The sequence below is a fragment of the Homo sapiens genome, chromosome 16, assembly GCF_000001405.40.
Source record: "Homo sapiens chromosome 16, GRCh38.p14 Primary Assembly".
NCBI classification, from domain to species: Eukaryota; Metazoa; Chordata; class Mammalia; order Primates; family Hominidae; genus Homo; species Homo sapiens.
This window is the reverse complement of record NC_000016.10, coordinates 24,253,761-24,270,078: the sequence shown is the minus strand read 5'-3', so window position 1 is coordinate 24,270,078 and position 16,318 is coordinate 24,253,761. Positions and strand designations below refer to the sequence as shown.

Below are 16,318 nucleotides of genomic sequence, written 5' to 3'. Positions count from 1 at the left end.
CACTTCCTAAATGTGCAGGTGACCAAATGTATATATAGACTCTTAGCCAAAAGGAATAGAAACAGTGTCTGTGGGATTTGTGCACAATATGTCCATACAACATATATTTTCTTTTTTCTTTTCCTCAGTTTGCACCCAGGATATTGAGGGAATTTTAAAATGAGACTGTTAAACTACTCTGGATAATCTTCGTGGATAAAATGGAAAAAAAAAAACAACAAATGAACAAATAACACAGATTTTCTTTTGTCTTTCTTTCTCCTTTCTTTCTCTTTCTTTCTTTCTTTCTTTTTCTTTCTTTCTTCTTTCTCTTTTTTTTTTTTTTTTTTTTTGAGATGGAGTCTCTCTCTGTTGCCCAGGCTGGAGTGCAATGGTGCTATCTCAGCTCCCTGAAACCTCCACCTCCCAGGTTTAAGCTATTCTACCACCTCAGCCTCCCGAGTAGCTGGGATTACAGGTGCCCACCACCACACTGGGCTAATTTTTCTATTTTTAGTAGAGACAGTGTTTCACCATGTTGGCCAGGCTGGTCTCGAACTCCTGAAGCGATCCACCCACCTTGACCTCCCAAACTGCTGGGATCACAGGTGTGAGCCACCGCACTCGGCTGAGATTTTCAAGACTGGAGAGCTAGACTCTCTCAAACTACAGGCTGCTGAATTGTAAACAATTGAGGCTGGAATTATAGGAGATATTATTAATAGGGTAATTTGTAAGCACCTAAGAGTAAAACAGTAATTGTTAGGGATTAGTATAAGTTCACTAGGAAAAGCTTAAGGTAATTGAATTATCTTTCTTCTGGAAAAAAATTCAAGGTGTATTTATTGAAGATCTGCTGTACAACAGGTTGTGGTTCTAGGCTGGTGGTTCAGGGAGTTGTGGCGGATAGTTTTTTGGGTGGCAATAAGATATTTGATAACATTTCCTACAACCTGCAGGCTAAAAGGTGGATAGATGGTGTTGGGTCTTGCCTGCCCAAATCTTAGCCTAGCTGCCCATTCCTGACCCATTCAAACCCAAGGCCAGTAAGAACCAGGCCTGCTGGTACATTTGTCTATTCCAAGTCTGGTGCCTTTCAAAGACGTTTTTGGCCATCTGAGTGCTGCATGAGAACCTGGCTGCAGATTCGCATCGTCTATGTTACAGAGTCATCCAAGCCCAAAACCTGGAGTTGAGGATGAGGGTAGGGTTGACTCGTGCCTGACGCAGAGTTTAAAACCCAAAGAAGTCAAATAAATAACATGCTCAAGTTTACTCCTCAGGAAGTGGAACAGCCATGGACCTGATGCCATCCCCCCATTGGCGAACACCCCAACTCCAGCGTAGAAGATGTGAGAATCTCAAATCATTTGTTCACCTGCATCCCATCAGACTCCCTGTTCTTCTCACTTCCAAATCATTAGTGTTACTTTTTTAAAGAAAAATTTACATTTGATCTCCAGAGGTGGTATTTCTTCACAGCCTAGTGCTACGATGTCTCAATTTTATTGGCTTTACCATTTATTTTCCTTGACCTTGCTTTCTGGATTTGGTATCAGAATTGGCAGACACTGGGTGAATTATTTTTCACAATATCTCCAGTGGTTGAATGGTTCAGAGCCTCTGACTGATGCTGAGCTCTCCTTGACACAGGATTGAGCAGGTTGGAGGAGACCCAACCCACCAGCCCAGGTCCTTAAATTAAGGCAGTGTGGTGTGATGATTAGGGTGAGACTGTGGTTTATATCCCAGCCCTGTCACCACCTAGCAGAGTGATCTTGTGCAAGCTACTTTACCTCTCTGAGCCTCTGTCTCCTTGCTGGTAGAGCAGACAACTAGTAGTAGACAGGGCTATCATGAGGCTCAATTTAGCCTGTTTATGCTAAGGTTTTATCCAAGGGCCCAGAATACAGTTAATGAGAAACAGAAGAAGGTACAGTTTAAATCCCAGCCCAGCATTTACTAACTATGTGCATTTTATAAAATGGAGGTAATAGTAGTATCTATCTCTCAAATAAATCAGGAGGGTTAAATAATAATTGTAAAGTGCATCCTTAGAACAGTGCCTGGCATCTAGCGTGTGTCTGTTAAATAAATGAATAAATGCTCAGGGGCTGGCCCAGATATGAGGCCGGGCACGGTAGCTCACGGCTGTAATCCCAGCACTCTGGGAGGCCAAGGTGGGCAGATTATTTGAGGCCAGGAGTTCGAGACCAGCCTGGTCAACATGGAGAAACCCTGTCTCTACTAAAAATACAAAAAATTAGCTTGACATGGTGGCCCACATCTGTAGTCCCAGCTACTTGGGTGGCTGAGGCAGGAGAATCACTTGATCTCGGGAGGCGGAGGTTGCAGTGAGCCAAGATCACATCATTGCACTCCAGCCTGGGCAACAGAGCGAGACTCTGCCTCAAAAACAAACAAACAAATGAATGCACAATCTACCACAATAATCATTGCTAGGCACATAGAAGGTGTTTGTTAAGTATTAGCTATTAATTATTTTTTTCTAGGTGGGGCACGGTGGTTTAAACCTGTAATCACAGAACTTTGGGAGGCCACGGTGGGAGAATTGCTTCAGCCCATGAGTTGAAGACCATCCTGGCCTGCATAGCAAGACCCCATCTCTACAAAAAATTTTAAAAATAGCTGGGCATGGTGGCATGTGCCTGTAGTCGCAGCTACTCATGGGACTGTGGTGGGAGGATCCCTTGAGCCCAGGAGGTCGAGGCCGCAGTGAGCTCTGATTGCACCACTGAACTTCAGCCTGGGCAATAGAGCAAGACCCTGTCTCAAAACAATTTTAGAAAGTAAAAATTAAGAAATTAAAAATAGGCCAGGTGCGGTGGCTCAAACCTGTAATCCCAGCACTTTGAGAGGCCAAGGCGGGCGGATCACAAGATCAGGAGATCGAGACTGTCCTGGCTAACACGGTGAAACCCCGTCTTTACTAAAAATATAAAAAATTAGCCAGGTGTGGTGGCGGGCTCCTGTAGTCCCAGCTACTCGGGAGGCTGAGGCAGGAGAATGGCGTGAACCCAGGAGGCAGAGGTTGTACTAAGCCGAGATCGTGCCACCGCACTCCAGCCTGGGCGATAGAGCGAGACTCCATCTCAAAAAAAAAAAAAAAAGAAATTAAAAATAATTATTTCCCTAGTTCCTTGGCACCTGTTTCTGGGGTTCTCACGGCCCATCCTCTCTCTCTCCAGCTTCCTTGGAAACAGCTCCCAGGATCCATAACACAATTTCACCTGCTGACTGATCCCAGGAAGAAGGGCAGACTTGCCCTGGAAGTGAGCCACCTCATGCAAATCCAGGAGGCAGGCCACAGGTGGGGTTCCTGCCTTGCAGAGAGCTCTCTTAGGCTGGAGGGCTTCTAGTAGTAGACATTGTCATTCATCTGCACCATTTTAGAAAAAGCTTCAGCAGACCCACAAAACGCTAGTCAAATCCTGAATTCTCCTTCTCCTCCTTTATCTCTGCTTTCCCAGAGTCTCACTGGCTCCTCTGTTCTTTGTCCATCAATGTTAGTGCTACTTAGGGTATCGTTTTCCCTCTTTTTCTTCCTTGTGTTTTTCTGGCATTTCTTGTGTACAGTCATACCTTTGATTACCATCTATGTTTGGATGACCCTAAGTGTCACCCTCAGTTTCACTTCTAAGCTCTCTCTTTGTGATTTGTAACATTTTGGAGTATGAGATTCTTTCATAGAAGTGCCCATTCATGTATCTTTCATGAAGTTTCATGAGCATACTGAACCTCATCCATGGAGCTAAATGACACAGTATTCGTACCTAAACTCCCAACACCAGCTGCCTGTGGTGGGTCACCCACCGAGTAACCGTGTCTTACAGAGTCTACTGTCAAACTTATCTATAGTGTTCCTTTCTTTTTATTGTCAGTAGAAACACTGGCTCCCAAGGATTTCTTCTTTTGTCAGCCCTAGCAGTTACTGTTCCCTGTGCACCTGGACAAGGGCTACATTTTCCTGGACACCATGAGAGGGGGAAAATCAGACCTATGTGAGAATTCTCTGGGAAAGAAAGAATATCTGATTACATGAACGGTCTGTGATAAAGGCAGATGGTGCAAGAAAAAAGAAAAGCAATTCAAAACTCTTGGGAAAACAAATAATCCTTCTAGAAATAGAGTGTTATTATAGATTCCTACATGTCTCTACAGTGAGATATAGCAGGGTTTGGCAAACTTTACTTTTTCTGGAAAAGGCAAGATAGTAAATATTTCAGGCTTTGCAGGCCAAGCAGCAAAATTGAGGATATTATATAGAAATATAAATGACAAGAAATAAAACAAGTTTCTATAAATTTTTTATTGACAACATTTAGGATTATGGATCCTGGAATTTGAATTTTATATCTTTTTTATTTGTCATGAAATATTATTGGATATTACTTAATTTTTCAACCATTTTAAAATGTACAAAATATTTTTAGCTATGGGCTGTCCAGAAGCAGGCAATGGGCTGAATTTGGCCTAGTTGTAGTTTGTCAAACCCTGAGAGATAGCTACACATCATAATATATATATACACCACTGAGTGAGCTAGCTTGCTTTCTTCTTTCTTTCTTTCTTTCTTTTCTTTCCTTCTTTCTCTTTCTCTCTCTCTCTCCTTCCTTCCTTCTTCTTTCTTTTTCTTTCTCTCTCTCTCCTTCCTTCCTTCTTTCTTCTTTCTTTTTCTTTCTTTCTTCTTTCTTTTCTTTCTTTCTTTTTTCTTTCTTTCTTTCTTTCCTTTTTCTTTCTTTCCTTCTTTCTTTTCCTTCCTTCCTTCTCTTTTTCCTTCCTTCCTTCCTCCCTTCCTTCCTTCCTTCTCTCGCTTCTTTTCTTTTTCTTTCTTTCTTTCACACAGTCTCACTCTGTCACCCAGGCTAGAGTGCAGTGGCATGATCTCAACTCATTGCAACTACAATCTCCTGGGCTCTAATCATCCTCCCACTTCAGCCTCCTGAGTAGCTGGGACTATAAGAGCATGCCAGCACACCTGGCTAACTTTTTTGTATTTTTTGTAGAGATGGAGGTCTCACTATGTTGCCCATGCTGGTCTCAAACTTTGGGGCTCAAGTGATCCACCTTCCTTGGCCTCTCAAAGTGCTGGGATTACAGATGTGATCCACCATGGCCTGCAGAGTTTTCAACTGTTAAAATTTCTGAGATGAAGCATGGTGACATTATTTATGTTTATTGATGTGTCTCAATTTAGTGGGATATAAACATGCACCAGTTTTAGTTTGGCTTTCAACTGTGTTATATCAAATCCTTCATTTTCTTACTGACAGTTTAGGCAGATTTCATAACTTCCCAGTCACTTTTGGTTGTTAAAACTTCCAGTTTTGTCTAACATTTCAAATTGCATGTTGAATTCAAATCACTATCCCTGCTCCTTCCTCGTTTAGATTCTAGCACCTTCTGTATGTATGTTCCTGCAGGGAGCAGGAAGAAAGAAAAGGCCAACATGCCACTTCACTTAGCTGGGCGAGGCTGTAAACCTTTCTTGTTTGCTGTCACTGCTTCTCTGGCTAACATCAATTGCCAGGCGCTCTGTGTAGCAGGGATCTGCGTGCTGACTGTCTTGTGGAGTTACATGCATTGGTTATTGGAGGGTCCTATGGTACCTTCCTACTGCAACTTCCTTTCCTGGTGTGGAATCTCTGACTCTGGTCTAGTCTTTTCCATCCTGCCTGGCTCCTTCCACTGAAAACATACAGCCCATGTTGCTGAGACTGTAGTTGACCCATACAGTACCCTGCGAACATTTATTACACACCCTCCTCCCTTTGGATAGAGTCAGTTCGGAACCAAGGTGCATGGTTTGGTGAGCGGAGCGTGGGCTAACTCTCAGCCCCTACTCGACCCCTCGGCCAGGCAGCCTCGTATAGGGCAACATCTTCACAAGCATCGTGCAGCCGGGTTAGAGTTTTCTTGGTTAATGGGCTGCTCTCCCAGGTGAGATATGAACACAAGGGTGGCAGCTCAGCTGCCCACTCCCAGATCCAATCCACACACAGAACTTCACCTTTCCAAACAAGCTACTCCAATCCCATGCCTCCTCTTAGCTCTGTTGTTCCCTCCAAGTCCCTTGCTGAGGTGGGCACATGAGCAGCCATGCTGCTTAAGCAAGTGTCCAATCCAGCACTCAATCATTATGAATGATTCTTCTTGGAGCCACAGGTACCTCACTGAGGAACTACAAGTATTGGGAGGAAGGAGAGAACTTGTATAAGAAAGCTAACTTATTGTTTGTCTTAGCAAATGGATCTTGTGTAGAAATGCATAAATCAAGAACTAATGGTCAACATGTTATTTAGAGGTAAGAAGAAATGAAGGAAACACAAGAATTAAAACAGAAACAGTTGATGGCACTTGCTATGTTTATTTCCCCATTTCACAGGTAAGTAAATTAGCACTCAGAGGGTAGGTAACTTTCAAGGTCTCATAGTCAGTAAATAACAGGATCCACATAAGCCCCCAGGTCCACCTGCTCCCAAAGCCCCTGCTATATCCCATATTCTCTGTGGTCTTTCATTAACTTATTAAAGCCCTATTTGTTCCTACATTGAAAAAGTGTGCTGTGGCAGGGTTATGAGATGGGAGAAAATTAAAACAACCTTGGGGTTTTCTACAGTTCTGTTTAACCTCAGAAACATTGTTTTCATTGGATGATGCTTCCATATGTCAAAGAAATGTTAAATTATTAAAAACATAATTCTCCTAAAATACATAGCTCATGTCAAGTTTTGTTCAATTCAGCAGTGAGGAACCAGCAGAATGACAAAACTAGTTCAAAGGAGGATGTTCTATTTTTTTTTCAGTGAAAAGGTTTTGAAATAAGATTACTAAAGTAATATAAAACTGAATAATATTCAGGAGAGGAGAGAATAAATCCACAACATTTGGGGTTATCTCCTCTAATGAATGAAAATCACATGCACATCTACTGAACAAAAAAATTATGTGCATTTTCTCAGTTTTCTACAAGTAAATATCTAACTTTGTAGCAACCAGGCCTCAATCTGTACTAAAAGCTGAGTCAATCAAAGTTACATTTCCCCTGAGGGTCAGATGATCCCTTGGGTAAGCTTGTTTCACTGTGCTCTATGTGAACATTTAAAGAACACAGTCATGTTTTTGCCTAAGTTCTTGTTTTATTTTTTTCTTGACACACACTAGTTATCCATACAAATAACCCACACTGGTCACCCAACCTTGGAATGAAGGTCACTTGCCTTTATTCTAATCCAGAAGATAAAATTTCAGAGATTGAAACAACTGAAAGTATTTTCAAGGCATCTACTTCCTAAGGTAGGTGGAATCCCACAGTCAGGTAGAAGATTGGGTTTGAGGAAGAAAGAAGAGGAGTAAGTTTCTTTCCACCGATGATGATACGACTGGGAATGAGATTTAAAATATGTAACAACCAATGGGACACAAGACCAGACAATCAGAATGAATGGTTTTGTAGGGCCAGAGCAAGGTCACGATGACATCTGTGGGGCCAGGTCTTCACCCTTTACCTAATGGATCTGAGCAGCCCCAGTAAGGGCTAGGGTAGGTGCAGTGGTGGTGGGGAGTTGGTGAAAGACTTGGGCCAGTTGTTGTTTATCAAGACATAGGAAAGTATTTTAACATTTTAACAACCAGTATGGCGCTATGGACACATTCTGTCTGACTATTAGTCATGTTCATACTCTGACCTCTACCACCTGCCCAATCCTGACTCAACCCTCAAACGCAGTCAGGGTCACTCCCTCCCATCCTGCCTTAAGACTCCATCCCATTTCTCTCTTCCATCTGCCTCTCAGGCTTTAGTGGCAAGGAGGAAGAATACAGAAAAAGGAACTGGGAGAAGGTCAGGAGTAGGGAAGAGAGTAAGAGAACTCCAGCACATTCTGAACCCATGTCTGAGGGAGGGTGCAGCATTAAATCTAGGACTGCAGGTGCGGAAGTGATGACTGGGTACTGTTTCTAAGTTTTAGGGGTAGAGCAGTGCCCCAAAGACAATAATCCCTGTCCTTACAGATTCCACATTCTACTTGGGCGGAGACAGGAGATATGAAAAGTATGAGTTAACATGTACAAAAGCACCTAGCACAGAGCTTGGCACATACAGAATAGTTAATAAATGTTATGTCTTTTCCTCACCTCCATCCTCAACCACATCTTTGCAGCTTCCCTGAAGGTTTTCAGACAACATAAATAAAGCTGAAACCCCGTCTGGCTGAAAAAGTCAACCATCTGGAGTTTTGGAAATATGGGAGAACTTCTAATGACTGGCTAATTTTTTTCTCCAGTTTTTCAGCGAGATGTTTGATGTCATCCTGGCCCATCTGTAGCAGAAATATCAGTTATTGAACCTCTTCTCCATAACTTTAAGTTCCTTGTTTTAAAATCCTAAATAAGTGGGCTTTCTTTTCTAAGTATTTTTTAATGAATTGAAAAAGTGATTATTGACTAATAAAGAGTAATTCAGGAATCAAATATAAAAACATCAGAAATTCATATTAAAAGTGCTATTTAGGTAATTTACAAGGCTGAAAACTGGCAGCCCATGTACCAAATTCAGCTACAAGGTAAATTTGGTTTGGCTAATATCATATTCTTAAAAAGTTGAAAGAGTTGCCTGCATTTTAAAAATCAAGATATTTTACATCTGGCTTTTCTTTACTTGGAATATTGGGCCACACTTGGTGTCTATTTCTCCAAGGTAAAAATCAAATCAAGCCAAGTAGTAGTCATCCTTCAGATGAGGCTTGTGTTTTCCAGTTTGCCACAGTCCTCACCACTCCCTATTGCCCCACACTGAGACCGAGTTTCAGTTACAATACATCTTCTCAAATCTACCGTTACCCGCCTCCAAACCTGCTGAGAATTGAGCTAAGAGGATTGGGAAATGCTTGTTTCATACTTTACATTAGCTGCCTCATCTACACAAACATTTGGATTTGTTACTCTAATCTTATCTAAATTTCTCATTTTAGATTTGGGTAAACTAAGGTCCAAAGAGGGAAAATAACATTCACCATTCACATAACTGTTGTTATGGAAATGGGATGAACACTTAGGGTTCCTCACTACTAGACTGGTGGTCTTTCTGCTATCTAAATACATTGCTTTGATTGTCTCCAGGACTTCATGAGGTTTTCTTAATGAGAGAGTCACATATTGAACACGTTCTCATTCAAATTCACAGGCCACTATTGATAACACGCAGCAGGTTAGGGCTCTACTTTGTGAATGCCTCCCGTGCTTTCCAGTTAATGAGTTGGGCGTTCTTGTTGGCTTCCCAGTGTGGGTGTCTCTACACAGGTCAATTGTCTCTCCATGCAAAGCGTGTCCTTTGCTGCCTCTAAGTTTGTGTGTGTCTGGTGTCTCCTGCATCCCTGCTGATGCTGCACAGGCACAGTGAGTGCTCTGAGATCTGAAACTTCTGAATGGAAAAACCCATGTGCCTGGGCATTTTCACAAACTAATGTTTGTACCAGTAGCAGGCTACCCACCAAAGCATGAATTAATGTTTTCTAGCAAATACTCAGAGAGGCAGCACGACTAAGGTTAAGTATTGCCTGCTGAGTTTAGGTGTGTGACCTTGGGCAAGTTATGTAAATCCCCCAGGGCTCAGTTTCCTCATCTGTAAAATGAGGGTAATAATAGTACCTACACAACTGAGCTGCTTTGAAGATGAAAGAGTTAATTTTTCAAAATTCTTCGAACAGCCTGAGCACATAGTAAGTGCTAAATGTAAGGGATATTCTGGTAGGTTAGCTTATTTTTTCCTAGGTATTTTTTAAGGGTTGAAAAAGTGATTATTGACTATTAAAGAGTAATTCAGGAGTCAAATATAAAAATATCAGAAATTTGGATTAAAAATGCCATTTAGGTAATTTACAAGGCTCAAAACTGGCAGCCCATGGGCCAAATTCAGCTACAAGGTAAACTTGGTTTGGCTGATCATGTCACTCAAGGAGGAGAAGGATATAACTTACCTACAGAAATGAAAACTGGAAACATCCTTCTCCTCCTTGAGTGATGGGATCATCCTTAAAACACATAGTCAATACCAGTGCAAATACCAATACATGTTGGCTTTAACATCATAATTGCTTGGAGCACCTTTAGAAAACTCAGATTTTCCTGGTCTACCTCAGACCTATGGAAGCAGGGAATCTAGTTGTGGAGCCCCTGATAATCTAATTTTTTAAAAGTTCCTCATGAGAATCTGATGACCAGCAAAGTTGGGAAACGATGTAGTTTGCTTATTCTTGAATATTTTTGGTGTTGGAAGACCCATCACCTGCCAAAGCTTCCCATTCCACATTGGATAGTTATTTATATTGAGGTAAAACCTGGTTTCCTCTAGCTCCTACTTCTACCTCCTTGAGGCCACACAGAACATCTCAAATCTCTCTTTCATATGACAGCCCTTCAGATATTTGCAGACAGCTGTCATGTTCTCCTTGGCATTCTCTTCTTTTGGATAAAATAATCACATTGTCTCATGGCTCTTTAAAAAAGCACAGAAGAACAAACATTTCTAATTTGACCTCTAAGAAAATGGAGCTACGAAAACCCCCAGTTTTCATTTGACACTTAAAGGACCAGAAAATGAGGATTTTGAGGCTCAGGTGTAGGTAAGAAATACTGAATGGGAAAGGACTGTTCATCTTCATTCTAGCAAAGGATGGAAATGCCTGGGATGGATGCTACCAACTGCATGTGACTTCCCATGCAGAAATCAGAGGCTTCTGCAAATTCCCCAAACACTTGATGTGTTTAGTACACATCTTGGCTTCAAATTTCAGCCAGGACCCACCTAGGTGTTAATTACATGGGTGCAGCCATAGCTAATATTTTATTGTGATTCATTGTGATTTGTGCATCTTACTGTATTTAATACTTCAAAAAAGTGAACAACAACAAAAAAAGCCAGGCCAAGTTGTATGGGGACTGCAACACATTTTCTCAATAGAATTCACCTGCCCAAGGTTATGTCTTCAATTCATCCAATTCCTTCTTGATTCAATTTCTCACTTCTCCCACTAAGCCTACAGAATGCCTGGCTGGGGTTTCAATTCCTTGTACAAACTGTGGGTGTAGGACTTGATGTTGGAAAAAAGAGAAATCATCAGTTGAGAAATTCTTAGCAAGTGTTTAGAAATTTTAGGTCCTACCTCTGCTCTTATAGATATATATTTTTTTCATAGATCATAATGAGGAACGTCAAACTTCATTTTTAATTGTGCATTCTCAGGTTTGATTCCCAGAGGCAGAAGAATTGGAAATGGCTAAAGCACTGTATACATATGTGCCATTTTTGGCTTGGAGGAACCTTAGAACTTCTATGCCATCTCTAGAACCATGTAGATATCGCAACATCCACCAAATCAGTTTTACAAAAGATAATTCAATTCCTTATAGCCAATATAAGAAAGGGAAATATGGAATTTCCCTGAGGTAAATGACTTCACCATACCCAATCACAAATGCTCACAAATATCCAACTTTTGTCATTGTTTAGGAAATAATTATTCTAGAATTTCTGTCAGTATATTGAATACAGTATAAGCTTTAGATAATGTTAATTCAAGACCACCTAATCCAAACGTATCATTTCCCAGATGAATAAACTGAGAGTTGGAGAGGGTAAATGTCTTAACCAAGGCCACAGCGATACTTTGCAGCATTACCCAGGTCTTCTGACTTCACATGATCCTTGCTGCATTAAAGGTAGCCCTTTCCTACCTGGGCTTCCCACCAGTTGCAAATTTGTGTTAGAAACAGAATCAATTGTAGTAGCGCTACGGTCAGGAGAGCAGTTGTTCAAAGTGTCAGGACATGGGAAAAAGGCCAGAGAATGATGCAATATTACACTGGCAAGTGATGTCATAGCATGATTTCCCAAGCGATTTACATAAATGCAAGTTCTCAAGAAGCCCTGACAAATGCCAGCCAGTGAAAATGCAGTGTGAAGAACCAATGGCAAGCAGGGGAGGGGACCACACAGGAAACGCAGATTTCCTTGCCCACCACTGTGACAAGCTTCACAGATTTCTCGGAAGCCTAAGAAAACCCCTACTGCCCCTCTAATCCAGTGACTTCCCTCAGGCACATAGGCTCCAAAGAGCTTTGATTTTCTTCCTTATCTTTCTATTTACTCCCAGTGATATCCAAGCATTGCCTACTGGTGCTGAGAGTGACTTCTGGTGTGGTGAAAGCAAGTTTAATAGTGTGATAGGCTACAAAAGGGCTTTATATTTTTAAATTGCTCTTTCTTCTTCATTATAAGTTATAACTACTCCCTAATTTTTAGAACTAGAAATGACGAACTGCAATTCTTGGAGAATCAGTCTTTTGTAAATGTCATGGAAATACCTTTTTAGGGGTTTGGGAATGATTTAGGAATGAAGACAGGTGGATACAAAATACCAAGACTTCAGTTTTGTTGTGATCCAAACTAATAAAACATGTATCAATAAGGATTTTTTCTTAAAATGTGTGCATAGGGTGTGGGTGGGAGTAGGGGTTTACATATGTTACCCTGTTACTGATTGGCAGTGGAAGTTCATGACAATATCTAGTTAGAGCAAACTCAGGAGAAACTGATAAGTCTATGTTGAGAAATAATGAAATAGCTCAGAATGTGCCAGACCGGGTCAGGATCTCTCTCTCTCTCTCTCTCTCTCTCTCTCTCTCTCTCTCTCTCTCTCTCTCTCTCTCTCCCCCCTCACTTCTTTCCTCTTGTCCCTTCTCCTCCCTTCCCTCCCCCTCCCTTCGAAATCCAATTTAAGCAGGGTTAAAGACCCCATCTCAAGCCAGAGATCCAAGCAGTTGACAATATGCCTAGGGATTTTGGATTTGAAGACTTTTCTAAACTGCAGAAGCTGCCTAGAGTGTGACAAAAATCTCATCTCATGAAGCTTATACTAAAAACAATCAACAAGACCCAACCCCTTTAACCCACATGGCGTCAGTCTTGCTGTTAACAGAGTCTGGGCACCTGCACATTCTCAGCAATAATTTGAACTTCTCTTCTTTCCTTATCACCATTTCCATCTCCTCCAAACACCCACCAGAATATCAGAACTGGATTATTCAGAGCTATTGAGAGGAAATTGTAAATACCTTCTAGGCAGCAGGTCCTCCACAGCCCCGAATGGGTCATTACTTCTTCATTCTTCCTGCTGGTTTCATTATCACTTGTAGATTTAGTCCTGCACACACCTCTGGAATATAACCAGTAGTCCGTGCCCACTGCAATGGTCATTAAACTAAAAGCGGCAAAGGCTCCTACAGTGGTGATCAACATCTGGATACCTCTGTCACACATCCTCATAATTCTTCATGGTACTCTGGACGGCTGGGGGTTGGAGGGGGAGAGTCAGTGCCGGAGGGGAAAATCACTCTGCAGCCGGGTAACCTAGTACAGGCTCTTCCAAAAATTCAGGTCTCCTTTTGTCAGCATCCACAGGGACTTTGGGAAAGCTGGGATTTCCTTTCTGGAGCTCTCTCCAGTTCCCTGGGTCGCCTATGGCCCTCGGAAGGGTGCAGGCTCCGGGGGGTTGGTCCGCATCACTGCTGCCTTCTGAGGGTCCCTGGGTTCCTTTCATTCCTCAGGAGCGTGGTAAAGACGAGGGTCCGTGCAGGGCATGGCTCCGGAGCCTGGAGCTGCCAGCTCGGTTTGAGATGCGCCTGGCTTCTCACAGCCCCGGGAGACTCAAGGCAAAGAAACCCAGAGAGGTCTCTGTGTGAGTGTGTGTGTGTGTGTGTGTGCGTGCGTGCGTGTGTGTGCGAGCGCGTGTGCTGGGGGTGAGGGCGGATGGCAAAAAATAGCACTGCTGGGAGGCGAGCCGCTGAGAAGAGTGTTCACTGCTTCCACAGCCTCGCAGGAAAGCTCTCCGCCTGCTCCCGACACCCCCGCTCAAACTGGAGAAAAGACAGAGTCCTGGGGCGGGGGCCGGCTGGTTTCCCTGGGGGCGCCAAGGTCCGTGGTGCTGAAGGGACAGCTCCCCGCCTGTTGCCCCGCCTCCGTCGTCTTAACGCCTAGGCTTTAAGGTCCGTGGTGCCGAAGGGACAGCTCCCTCATGCAGCTGCACACCGCCGCCCGGGCTAGAAACCCGGGGTGCTAAAGGGTCTTTCTTCCCTCACCCCGCCCTTCCCCCGTTCCTTCCCGGGTCAGCCAGCCGGCTCGGCTCTGCCCAGTCAAGCCCACTCTCCGCGCAAAGTTTCTGGAGCCGAGGACAGTCAGCGCCCTGGCTCCTGGGCGCTGCAGCACGACCCGGTTCCTCCGCTCTAGGAAGGGTTAAGGAAAGGGGAAGGGGAGCGAAGCCCGTAGCGCACTCTGGCGCTCCCTCAGCACCCACCCAACGCGGCATTCTTCAATCCTCCCTTTCACCCCATGAGCCAGGCAAGTTTGCCTTTTGCTGCGGGCACCACTGGAGCCCATTGGGGAAAAAGAAGACCCGAAAGACCGAGTCTTCTTAAAGGCACCGGCAGCTCTGGAGACGGCTCTATGGCTCGCTTAGGCGGGCAAAAAGTGTTGTCACAATCACATCTGTGTAGAGTCTGTCTCAATTTGGTTCCCCAGCAAACAAACCAATATGTCTACCCTCCTTTCTCTGGAGCTCTGGTTTACACCGAAGACAACCCGCTCAGATCAGACCCGGAACTGTTCATATATACATGATCATGTATTCCTAAAAGATGGAAGAAGCTAAATATACATAGACTCTGTCATACACATATTAGGGACCTTGGGCAAAAGACTATAAGATTTTGGCCTTTGAATATGCCTTTTATACATTTTAACATATCTACATCGAAGGGGGTGATGGATTCATGGTGGGAGAGTCACTGAAAATGTCAGATTTTGTTCAAAGGTCTCTGAGATATCATTTGTTAACATTGTTATCTAAGTGAGACCATGAAGCAGGTGAAGTTAGGTCTGCTTTGCTTGTTAGTCCAAAGGGCAAATGGCATTGCACACCTGAAAGCTCTCTTCCTTGGAAATAGCCAGTATTGCAAAGGACCAGCATTTAACCAGCTTTTTATTACTATGTATTCCGGCATATGCATGGGCACACACCGAGTTGACTAGAAACAGCCCACAGAAATGCCCTTATTATTTTTTTTCTTATGGCATCCTGGGACTGATATCCAGAGGTCAGATAGTTGGAAATGAGGTTGCTTGGGTTGTTTCCACAGTTCCTGAGATGTGTCCGCAACCAACTGTCATGTTTGAATGTTATTTAGCTGGACAGAAATATAACGGGAGGTAATCGCAGACAAACATACTCCCCTGGTGCCATCTCTGGCTGCCTGGGAACTTCTATTCAGGTGACTGGGTAGCAGGAATATATTGAAGGGTTCGCAAATGCAGCTCACAACTTCTTGGTGACTTTGCTACTTTCATTTTGGTGTTAAGACTGAAGACTTTATTCTTGGTGTTAGATAAATACTCATGTGCAGGAGGAAGTTTGAATATATAGCTGTGGAGTGATTGTGTTTGAATGCTCACCTGTGCTATGTTCAGTTTAGTTATAAATTCTGAATGCCTGTGAATCCGTCATAGAAGTAAAGCAAGTATGTAAATGTATGTTTGTACCTGCAGACAGTGTTATGGACCATGTGAACATATTTGCTGCAAATGCCTAGCATTTTTGCTATGCATATGCATACATATTTGCACATGTATGTGTATGCATGCACGTGTGTAGGTATAGTATAGATTTGAATATGTAGGTGTGTATACCTATGAGCATTTAGTTGCATATGCATGTGTCGTGGTTCAAAAACACTGATTTATGGACAGGAGGTAGAAATACTGAAATCTTGCCACATAATCCACAATGGAATGGATAAACTTGGGGCCAGCACCACAGCCGTACTCCAGAAGAATGACAGAAGATAGTAGGGAGAGGATACACGAGGGCCCCTACAAGTTTCTTAGTGTCATTTTCTTTCCTGAAATGAAAATTTGCATCTTAATAAAAATATCCTGCCTTGATTGTTATTACCTTTCTTTTTTAAGGGAAAGCCATATGTAACATGGAGGTGAGGTTGGTATTTCTTGGGAGGGATTAATTCAGTTAGCAAAAATTTCTCTCCCCACTCTCAGAAAGGTAAATAAGATGAAATAATTACTAATGATCAAAGCAGTCATTTCAGGATCTGTTTGATTCTTCTCTTGCTTGGATAGAAGTGAGAAAGGTCTTCTTTCAAAGAAGGACCATGTTGATGAAAGGTGAGTGAGCTTCGGGCTAAGGGACAGTATGCCCCAATCTCTCCATTTACCAGACCCACAGTGGAACAGCAGCATCTTCATCTCCAC

General features: G+C 42.9%; 1 protein-coding gene across 1 annotated transcript in view, besides 1 other annotated feature; it reads right to left on the bottom strand.

Moving 5' to 3' along the window:
• The window catches only part of CACNG3 (calcium voltage-gated channel auxiliary subunit gamma 3), a 106,078-nt gene extending 92,334 nt beyond the window's left edge, over window positions 1-13,744 (bottom strand). The window contains exon 1 of the mRNA NM_006539.4: window positions 13,114-13,744. Coding sequence (NP_006530.1) covers window positions 13,114-13,324 — 211 coding nt within the window. The 5' untranslated portion in view covers window positions 13,325-13,744. The remainder of the gene's footprint in view (window positions 1-13,113) is intronic.
• Window positions 13,269-13,996: an enhancer, noted in NCBI's record as "H3K4me1 hESC enhancer chr16:24267404-24268131 (GRCh37/hg19 assembly coordinates)". NCBI's record gives its function as "activates a minimal SCP1, AML or CMV promoter by ChIP-STARR-seq in primed H9 embryonic stem cells {active_cell/tissue: H9 hESC(primed)}" and the evidence as "EXISTENCE:reporter gene assay evidence [ECO:0000049][PMID:30033119]".